Here is a 12,217-nt window from a genome sequence, read left to right on the forward strand (position 1 = left end):
AATATATGAATCCAGTATTCAACTTTATATTTTATCATATAAAAATTTGTAGAGTAATATTATCTCATGAGTTCTTATGAGCATTAAATGGTAAATGAGCTAACATTGATATACTTATAATAGTGTCAAAGAGATTACCATCACCACAAACTATTTTGTTAAAAAAATTAAGATGTTGGCAGGGTGCGGTGGCTCACGCCTGTAATCCCAGCACTTTGGGAAGCCAAGACAAGCAGATCACGAGGTCAGGAGATGGAGACTATCCTGACTAACACGGCGAAACCCGTCTCTACTGAAAATACAAAAAATTAGCCGGGCGTGGTGGCGGGCGCCTGTAGTCCCAGCTACTCGGGAGGCTGAGGCAGGAGAATGGCGTGAACCCGGGAGGCGGAGCTTGCAGCGAGCCGAGATCGCGCCACTGCACTCCAGCGTGGGCGACAGAGGGAGACCCCGTCTCAAAAAAAAAAAAAAAAGAAAAATTAAAATGTTAAAATTTTTCCTTCTCTCAAACACATGCACAAACCTCAGCTCAGTATTTGTAAAGAAAAAATGATTAACATCTCGACATTCAAAAATCTGTGCTCTTACAGGTAAAGATCAAATACCTTAACTGCAAGGCTGTATGCAAGTAGCGTTATAAAAATGTTTCTCCAAACCTATAGTATATTTGAAAGAAACCCTCTAATCAACCCAAAAGAGTCGTCTATTTGTTTTTCACAAAATATTTGCCAAACTTCTTTTCTCCCCACCGTTTTATTTGCTGGTTTCTTTTTGTGAGACACTCTCTGGTATCTTCTGCTTATAGAAATCCTACTCTTAATCCAAGACTTTAATTCTAACATTCTTCATGAATAATATTTTGATTGACTCAAATTTGGGCTATCACACAATACTTTAGATCATGTATGTTTATGTATGCCTTTTCTCTCTAAGCAGTGAATCACGTTTTTTAAAAGATTAGGGTATATTCTTCACATTATATTGTGTATTCAAGACTAAATTAGTGCCCCATGTTGCACAATTTACAAAGGACTGTTGATGACCATACTACTGCAGATACTCAACGTTTTACATCTTCAGGACCTTCATGGCCACAGTCTGCATAATTCAGTTCAGGTGAAAAAAAAGTTTTTCTGTCAATATTGGATTTAGTATGAGATTTATCAAGTATGACTTAAAATAGATGTTAACAGGATTTAGAGTACAAAAATTAAGGACAAAGAGAATAAGTAATGTAACAATGCTTCTAAATCTTCATCTTATAGAGAGAAGAAACATACCAAATAAAGAACAGCCTGGATATTTGATCTATGATTTATAGATATACATAAAATCATATGCCCAATATTTAGAGAATACTTGTTATTTCAAATAAAAATGGAGTAGTACTAACAACTTACCACATACTGTGTTAGGTCACTAAGCACATTTCAATGCAAACAAAAAATCATTACTATATAATCACATAATCTGGTAGGTCAGAAATGTATCTGATCAGAAGGCTATGCCTCTCTTTTGGGTAAACACTGAGTGTAGTAATGACAGGGATAGCATTGAAAATCAGTGGATAAAGAGTTGACCCTTTAGTAAATGGTACTGGAAAAAGTAGATGCCATATGGAAATAAATAGATTCCCCATCTCATTCTAAAAATAAGTTCCATATGAATTAAAGCTGAAAATATGAAAACAAAACTTTCACAACTCATGAGAATATAGAGGACAATAAATTTCTAACCCTTAGTAATGAAGGATTTCTTAACCAAGGGCTAAATTTCTATAAATAAGAAAAAAAAGATGTATTTCAGAATATTAAAATTAAAGTTTTGTAATGAATTAAAGAGAATGTTAATTCGATGGATTCCTATGTTAAATTTATTTAAATTAACTTATTGAAATTAAACTAACAAGCTCCACAAATCAGTGAGTAGAGGCAAAGAACTAAAAGGAACATGAATGAAAGATACACAAGCAAATAATAGAAGCAGAAACTATAGCAGGCTATGTATATGTACATATATATAGTCATGTGTCACTTGTCAACAACAGGGACATGTTCTGAGGAAGTTGGTCCCCAAGTACTTTTTGTTGTTGTATAAGCATCATAGAGTGTACTTCTCCAAACTTAGATGGTATAGACTGCTACCCACCTATGGGTAGGTATATATGGTATAGCCTATTGCTCCTAGGCTGCAAACCTGAACAGCATTTTATTGTACTGAATACTGTAGGCAATGTAACACAATGGTAAGTTTTTGTGTATCTAGATCTAACTAAACACAGAAAAGGCACAGTAAAAATATGTTATAGTGAATAAAAATGGTACACCTGTATAGGGCACGTATCATAAATGAAGCTTGCAGGACTGGAAATTACTATGGATGAGTCAGTGAGTGAGTGGTGAGTGAATGCTGAGGCCTAGAACATTACTGTACACTACTGCAGACTTTATAAACTATATACTGATGCTACCCTCAATTTTTAAAAATATTTTTCTTTTTCAATAGTGAATTAACCTTAGCCTACTATAAATTTTTTACTCTATAAACTTAATTTTCTAACTTTTTGACTCATTTAGAATAACGCAGTTTAAAAAGTACACTGTATAACTGTACAAAAATATTTTCTTTATTTATATCTTTATTCTATAAGCATTTTCCTATTTTAAAAAGTTTAAACTAGTTTTTACTATTTAAAATTATGTATTAACAACTAAAACTCAAAGTCACACATTAGCCTAGGCCTACACTTATATCTTACAAGATATAAGATATTTATATCTTGTAAGATATAAGATATTTGTATCTTGTAAGATATAAGATATTTGTATCTTGTAAGATATAAGATATTTGTATCTTGTAAGATATAAGATATTTGTATCTTGTAAGATATAAGATATTTATATCTTATACCTTCCACATCTTGTCTCACTGGAAGGTCTTCAGGGACAATAACGTGCATGGAGCTGTCATCTCCCATGATAACAAAGCCTTCTGAAATATCTCATGAAAGACCTGCCTGAGGCTGTTTTACAGTCAACTTAAAAAAAAATATATATATATATATATAAGTACAAGTGCCTCTAAATAAAGTGCCTCTAAAATAAAGATAAAAATTATAGTAAATACATAAACAGTTGCATAGTTGCTTATTACCAAGTATTAAGTACTATGTGTAACTGATTGTGCTATACTTTTCTTTCTACTGGCAACACAGTAGTTTTGTTTACGCCAGCATCAACACAAACACACGAGTAGTGTATTGTGCTATGCTGTTACAATGGCTATGAAATCACTTAGGCAGTAGGAATTTTTCAGCTGCATTATAGTTTTATGAGGCCATCATCATATATGAGGTTCATTGTTGACAAAATCATTATGTGGTGCACGACTGTATATATATTTTATATATATTACATATAAGTATATAAAATATGTTCAAACTGAATATTAATAAGTATAAGAAGAATGTAACTAATAAGTTTCCATTTCACACCTATCAGACTAACAAAGTGTAAAGTTCATAATATTAGCTATTAATGAGGATGTAAGAAAATTAAATTCATTATGCAATATACATGGACATGGAAATTGGAATATTTGGAAAGGCAATATTTAGAAGAGTTGAATATTTTGTGTATCCCTGAAATTTTAATAATGTAAATATTCATATATGTATACAGGAAACAAATGCAATTATTTTATTGCAGCATTGTGTAGAATGGCAACAACTTGGAAAAAAATTTAAATATTTTTCAATAAAGTAATTTTAAAACTCTGGTATATTCATATAGTAGTATCCTAAAAAACAGTTAACAAGAATGAACTACATCCTTTTAGTTTCAAGGTGGCCAATCTCAAGAGCATAATGCTGAGTGAAAATAGAAAATTGCAAAAGAATATTTACAGTATGATATCAATGAGGTAAACTTTATTTTATTTTGTTTTATTTTATTTTATTTTTTGAGACAGGGTCTTTCTCTTTTGCCCAGGCTGGAGTGCAGTGGAATGGCAATCATGGCTCTCTGCAGCCTCAACCTCCTGGGCTCAAGCAACCCTCTTGGCTTGGCCTTGTGAGTAACTGGAACTACAGGTGTGTGCCACCACACATGGCTAATTTTTGTATTTTGTGTAGAAATGGGGTCTCACCATGTTGCCCAGGCTGAGAACAATGTAAATCTTATAAACACACAGACTAGCACTATTTTACATGATATAAGTAGAGAAATAAATATATAATCATACATAGAATAAACAACTTCAAGTTTAAGCAAATAAGAAAAGAGTGAGATAAGGAAGATGCATTAACTAGTTTTGTAATACTGTATTCAGAAATATTTTGAGGTGCCTGTAATCACAGCACTTTGGGAGGCTTCTGACCTGAGGTCAGAAGTTTGAGACCAGCCTGGCCAATATGGCAAAACCCCATCTCTACTAAAAACACAAAAATTAGCTGGGCATGGTAGTATGCACCTGTAATCCTAGCTACTCAGGAGACTGAGGCAGGGGGATCACTTGAACCTGGGAGATGGAGGTGGCAGTGAGCCGAAATTGCACCACTGCACTCCAGCCTGGGCAACAGAGCAAGCAAGACTCCATCTCAAAAAAATAAAAATAAAAATATTATGAGGCAAATATGACATAAAAACATTTTACATCTGAGTACAGTGTACATGAGGTTTATTACATATTTAAAAGTAATAAAATTTAAAAATAGAATAATTTTATAATTTATGAATGTAGAAACTAAGTTCAAAGACATCAATTTAGAATATTTCTTGTTTTTCCATTTATAATAATTCATAAAGATGCTACCACTGACACATTTAGTAAACATATTCTGGTTTCCTGTGATACCAAATATTTTAAACTTTACAGAGGGGAAAACATAAATAATGCTTGTTCTCTTATGCTTAATAATATTATAGTAGATTTCTATATTAAATACACCTCTTAGAAACCTCATATGACCAGAAATATTCTTTGATTAGTAGAAGGGTTAGTTCCATTAGAGTAGTGGCCTACATTATATATTATCCTAGATTTATTTTTACTTTTCTAGGAAATTATCTACAATATCTAATTTTATTTTATTCAATAATATATAACAATTATTATTTTGCATTTACCTGAAAAGATGAGGCACATTTTACTTATCATTTTTTCCTGGAAAGCATAGAAGAGCTATATGTTCATAAAATGGAATTCATACATCCTAATTTTATAAAATATAAGTGAGGCTAAAATTGACTAAATATACTGATATGGTTTGGCTGTGTCCCCACCCAAATCTCATCTTGAATTGTAACTCCCACAGTTCACACATTTCATGGAGGAACCCAGTGGGAGGTGATTGAATTATACAGATGGATCTTTCCTGCACTATCCTCGTGTTAGTGAATGAGTCTCTGAGGAGATCTGATGGTTTTAAAAATGGGAGTTTCCCTGCACAAGCTCTCTTCTCTTGTCTGCCACCATATGAGATGTGCCTTTCACCTTCCGCCATGATTGTGAGGTCTCCCCAGCCATGTGGAACTGTAAGTTCATTAAACCTCTTTTGCTTCCCAGTCTTGGGTATGTCTTTATCAGCAGCGTGAAAACGGACTAATACTTATAGTTCATTTTGTTGAGACTAAGCGCACAGAATTTATCTAAAAAATACTTCAAAACTGCTTCTTATGCTTCAGAATCAGTTCTAAGCACCTTATAAATGTGAGTTCATATACCTTTATGCCAATCCAGTGAGGTAGACACTAAGATACCCTCATTTCACATGTGTGAAATCTAAGGCACTGCAAACTTGTTTAATGTCACAGAGCTTGTAGATGATAGATTCAGCCCATGAACTTTGCTCTAAACATGCTGCTTCTAACTACTCTGTTATGTTCTAATAATGGGCATATGTATGCATTGGTGTCAATCTGAAATTTAGTTGAATATATGATTTTTGGTAACCTGATTGGTATGATTTTTGGTAACCTGATTGGTATGATTTTTGGTAACCTGACTGGTCTTCTTGTAAATGCACTTGGGCTTGTTGGAATACACATGGTCCAATCTAGGTATTGTAATAATCGTGCTAACATGTTGAAACAAAAAATTCAGTTACTCACTGCAAAGATTCCCACTAATAGGGTAATTTTCTTTTCTGCTAAATGAAGACACAGCCCCAATATAAGAAACTTCTAAATATAACAGCACAAGATCTGTAATGAGCCAACTTTTTCTACAACTGAAATAGCCCACAGTCCTTAATTAAAGCAAAAATTAACCAGTTTCAACAACGAAGACAGATCACCTTTTGTCAGGTCTTTGAAAAGATGACAACACTACCTTCTCATCTCAAGTTCAGTCATGATGTATTTTGCTTCTTTAGCAGGGTTAACTCAATGTGAAAGACCTAAGTAGCAGGTTCTTCAAGTTGTCATCACAGCAGAAATCTCACTGGGAGTCCTGTTTTCTATTATAAGCCTAATTTGGCATATTGATTAATTTAATTTAATTCATTAATAATTAAATTGGCCACCTACACTATATGAGGTGCTGAGGTAGATGCTTTGGGAAATGCAAGATTTATATTGCTCTCAATATCCCACACTCTAGGGCACACCTTATTTGACCACATTTCCTGTCTCAGATTGTGATATGTCTTTACTCCAACTTACCAAGTCAGATTCTTCAATGCACAGCCTTGGGGCTCAATAGTTCTGTGTGTACCAATTCATTTTTTGCTTTTGTCAGCAATAAACCTTAAAAAAATTATCTGAAGTCTAAAATAATTACTTTTGTTAGAAACTTTACATTTTTCGTATTCTAAGTGGTGTGCATATTCTAAATCTTGACATTTTTCACATTCTAAATGATGTGCAAATATAGTGAATCCAGTAATTCTAAAGTTTTGGGGATAGGGTGTTTAATTGTTCAAGGAATCATACTTTATTTACATTTCAAACATATACTCGGTAAGTATAGGTGTAGATGGAGGAATCGGAAGAGTAAGAGGGTTGGAAGATGATGAGGAAGCTGTTTATAATGTATCAGGAGAAATTGCCTGTACATTTACAGTGTGTTATGGAATAGCAACCCATATCATATTATAAAAATCTCTAGGAAAATATTTATTAAAATATCTATTTAAAATAATATCATAATTAGTGTCTTAGTCAGCTTAGGCTGCCATAACAAAATACCATAGACTGAGTAACTTAAACAATGGAAATTTACTTCTCACAGTTCTGGAGGCTGAAAAGTTTAAAATCAAAGTATCAGCATGGTCAGATTTTGGTGAAGACTCTCCTCCTGGTTTGCAGATGGCCACCTTTCCACACTGTGTCTCCACACGGTGGAGAGAGTGAGCTCTGGTGTCTCTTCCTCTTATTATAAATCACCAAATCTATTGTATTAGGTCTCTGCCTTTATGACCTCATTTAACTTTTAGCACCTCTTCACAGGCCCTGTCTTCAAATACATTAGTGGTTAGGACTTCAACATACGAATTTCGGGGAGACACAAACATTTGCTCTATAACAATATGTAAAAGGCTATTAACTGAAATAAAGATTCTTTGATCCCAGGAGCTAGCCAATAACAGGCCACTGGAAAAATCAATTGAAAAAGTGCCAATTGATTATATATTGCATGTGACTCTCATTTTAGTGGCTATTTATATTCAGAGAAAGATCAGAAACAGAAATTCCAATGACCGGGGCAGGGGGTTCCTTTGAGATAACTTATATAGATAATAAAACCCTGTGAAGATGGCATAAAATCTGAATTTTGAACAGTCACTATGCTTTAGATGAATTAATATGGGGAACAAGAATATATTCCAAACCATCAATATCTTGAAATTTAGAATCGCTTGAAGACAATCCTATTGCCAAGGAATGTAGTTGAAAAACTTGAGCCATGGATTATTGAGGGGAATTACCAGATTTATCAGGATGGCAGATAAACGTCTAGGGAAATAGTGCTCAATGCAGCCTTATAAAGGTAGCAATAAAACATTAGAAGGAATTGGAGAATTGGGATACATAAACTTCAGTCATCAAAAAAAAAAAAGTAGCAGAAAATAAGGCGAGGGGATTATCCTTTCACTCACCCCACTGTCTTTGTTATTTTTTTTTTCCCCATCACAGATCTCATTTTGTTCTCTACCAAATCTTATGTTTAGCTTGATGCATTTAAACTATATTGCAGTTTGGTTCTACTAAGAATGTATGCATACCGTTGTACTATTTGAGAAGAAGGAGAAAGAAAATTAGCAGAAAAATACTTTGTTGTTTCATGTTCTGCTTAATATGGCCTCAAATCAATATTTACTTTGAAAAATTTTAAATCGCTTGTGTCCAAAGATATTATAAATCTCTAGCTTTCAGGGATATCTGTTTTTTTAACTCATAAAAATAATTATTAATGCTAGTGCTTGTGGGTGCAAATTAAGATCTTTATTCTGCTAGCTTAAAAGTCATTTGATTGCTTTCATTCTTTCCTATATGCACAGACAAATGCCATTCATGCTTCTTTTCCATATAGTAGCCTAGCAACTGCAAATTTCAAGAACTTTTTATAATTACATTCTCTGAATAATTTTAAAAGTATGTCACCCTCTCAAATCCAAGAGAATACTGCTAGTTGGCCTTGCAAATGACCAAGGCCATCATTCTTACTTGTTAGAAATTTAGCTTGGTAATCTTTCTGTGTTGTCAAGAAGTTCAGTCTGATGTCCCAAAATACCAAACCTCCACTTATAAAAATATTCGGAACCAAAAGAAAATCAAAGAATAACACAGTTTGTACTCTAGAGGACAGTAATACTGCTCCCTGGTTTCTGGATTTTTGAAAGATGAATAATGCAGTCAATGTACTCAGACAACAAAATTAAATCAGTTACAAGCTCTGAGAAATGTACACAAAAATACAAATACATGAGCAAGACTCAAATAAGATTGATTTCCAAAAGTCACAAAATAAAATATATTTTGAATTTGAGTTAACGCAGGCTTAAGAATTAATTTAGAAAGATAATTATCATAGATGATGATGAAAGTAGAAAGTTGTTACCTCACATAGGGAATATTTTAAATTACTATTTTCCTAGAAAGTAGAGTTGCTAGGAATAAAACACAGGCTCTCAGTTAAAGTTGAATTTCAAATAAACAACAAACAATTTTTTAGTGCAACTATGGCCTATAAATTACTTGGTATAAATATACCCCATGAATATTTGACATCTACTTACAGTAACAAAGATATTTACCATTTATCTGGAACTCAAATTTTACTAGGCTGTCAGGTATTTTTATTTGCTAAATGTGGAAACTCTACGAATAGAAGATTTTAAATAGGACTATAAAATAAATTAACTGGCTATCTTGCTTACATTAGGGACCTAATAAATGTCTGGTTAGCAGAACTTATACCTTTTATTTTAATTGATGCATCATAAGCTTAACTAGATACTTTAATCAGGAAATAATATGTGAAACAACTATGACTCATGAGCACGTTTTAGAATTATAATCTCTGAATAACTTATTTGTGCATATTTTTGTTTATTCAATGAATAACAACTTCTAGGAATAGTTAGCACATTCAGCTTTTCTTAGAATCATTTTTATACTTGATAGAAATAAAAATACTGTTAAAGAAAATGTCATGATGAATTAGAAAGGCAAGAACACTGCAGAAGGCTATAATCCTTTCAGATTTGAAGGATGGAATGAGACTGTGTCTGCAGGACTAGCTGCCCAATTGAATTGAGATGATGTAGCTGGACATTTAAAAAAGCACAGTAGTACATGCAGGGTCACATCACAGATTGAAATGAAAAAAGTCCTTGTTGTCATTTTTATTTCACCAATTGGAATAAGTTTTCAACTTGTGAAAAGTGCTGCACAAATCCTGGAAACTGAAATTCTTTACTAAAGCACAGGGAAGTGCAGGGCAATCAATGGCAATATCAGATTGAAGCTCATGCCTGTTAATAATGTGACTTAATCCTGATTTGGGGAAAAACATTATTTTGAGGATGAGAATATCAACCCTGAGCACTGCTCTGCGTTTCTACTGAAAGTAACAATTATTTCTTATCAGTGATGATATGGAGCCTTCCCAGGTGAAGGATGTGCAAGGATAATGGCCATGGTGGATGGGGAGAGGATGGGAGCAGGGTAAAAGCCAATTCTGCTGCAGCTAACATGCTGTGTCTAAACACTATGCAAGATAGCAGTTGTCATACAGTCTCAGCTTCTAATGCTGGGTCAGTAGCTTACTTGTGAAACTTGTATAAGTCGTTTTACCTGTCAGCTCTTTTTTTTTTTTTTTTTTTTTTGATAAATGAGAGGAACTTTAAGAGGTCTTTCAGCTCTTACCAACTTTGGTTATGCCATTGATAAGGACCTTTAAGAATTAGAATATTTAATTTCATTATTCTAATTGCTTTGGCTAATGAGTATATAAGTACTGAAATTTCATTTCCTGGGATAGTACATTTGGGGAAGATATTCTGTGTATTTCTAAGTCCCTATCCTATCTTTTTACACACTAAATTTTAGTCATTTATCCAAGTTGACTGGACCCATGCCATAGGTTTTACAAGAAACTGGACACTTAAAGACCTTAACAGTAGTTACCCAACTTAGGAACAGAGGCTTCTTTCAATAGACTTATGCTACAAAGCAGATGAGGAAGCATGCACTTCCAGCTGTTGGATTCTTTTGTGCCCATAACAGGTATGAAACTGTTATGCACGGATTTCACTGTGCATAACCTTCAACTTACTGATTCATATTAAAATGGTAATAACAAGTAAATGAAACTCCTATAAAATTGGTTTCAAGTTCAGGCAGACAGACATGGATCATCGCAGCTATGTGAACTTGGGCAAAGTATCTTGTCATCTTGTGCCTTTATTTAAAAATAAGCATAATAATTTACCTACCTTATATGATCATTGTGAATTTAATTGTAAACACTTGACAGAATGCAATCACATATTGAGTGCTTAATAAATACTAGCTGTTGCTACTATCATTACTGCCATTACCATTATCAAAATGATTATTTTTATTAGAAACCTGGAAGAAACTTAAGTAAGACTGTTGAAAAAATTCAGTTCTGCTTTTCTTTTTCATGTCCACTAACCCTATAATCTTCTGATGAGCATCAAGAAAATTATGTTTAAACAAATTGAGGAAAAGGAAAGCATTCCACTTTATGAGTATTTATGAGCTATTTATAAAATACACCTGAATATGTGAGAGATATATTGAGATGTGGCCTTTAAAAGAAAAGATGAACAGAGAAAGCAAATCTATTTGCCTGTACAAGTGCATGTAACCAGTAGACAATATGCAGTAATAAGTCATTTTTTGCATTTAATTTTAGTTATCTAATATAATTTTTCTATGTAAGACAAATACCTGTAGATACATTAGCTAAATATAGAATGATAATATAGACAGTCAGGTTCATCATGGGTATAATGCTTGTTAAATAAACATTAAATAAACTCTCTGTCTTGGTTTTGGCTCATGACATAATTTTAGGCCTGAAGTGCCTTCTTCTAGCCAGAGAAAGGCAATGAATAAACACGAAGTGTTAGGAAGTGAGGTAGGAGGCAGGGCTCAGACACTGGACAAAATTGAGTACTAGCTAAAACAGGGACAGGGCAGGAGTTTTCTATAAGACAAGCCCATAAGTGTGTCATGTCAGTTTATCATTGCCATGGCAACACCAGGAAGTTACCACTCCTTTCCATGGCAATGACCCAACAACCTGAAAGTTACCACACTTTTCTAGAAATTACTGCATAATCTACCTCTTAATTTGCATATAACTAAAAGTGGATATAAATATGACTGCAGAACTGCTTTTGAGCTGCTACTCTGGGCACACTGGCTATGGGGTAGCCCTGCTCTGCAAGGAGCAGTACCTCTGCTGCTGCTGTACACTGCCACTTCAATAAAACTTGTGGTCCACCACCACCTGCTCACGCTTGAATCCTTTCCTGGGCAAAGCCAAGAATCCTCCCAGGCTAAGCCCCAATTTAGGGGACCACCTACACTGTCAGAAGCTTACTTTCTGAGTTATTTCACTTAAAAGGATAATAATTTACCTATCTGATAGAATTGTTGTGAATTTAAGATAAAATTATCTTGCTTAAGATGAAGGTGAAATGACTCAGAAATAGAACATCAAATACCACATGATCTCACTT

General features: G+C 33.7%; 1 annotated feature.

Annotated features, from left to right (window-relative positions):
- Nucleotides 11,695-11,744: a silencer, noted in NCBI's record as "silent region_16157". NCBI's record gives its function as "represses an Ori minimal core promoter by ATAC-STARR-seq in GM12878 lymphoblastoid cells {active_cell/tissue: GM12878}" and the evidence as "EXISTENCE:reporter gene assay evidence [ECO:0000049][PMID:35858748]".

Source organism: Homo sapiens, chromosome 5 (assembly GCF_000001405.40).
Source record: "Homo sapiens chromosome 5, GRCh38.p14 Primary Assembly".
Lineage (NCBI taxonomy): Eukaryota > Metazoa > Chordata > Mammalia > Primates > Hominidae > Homo > Homo sapiens.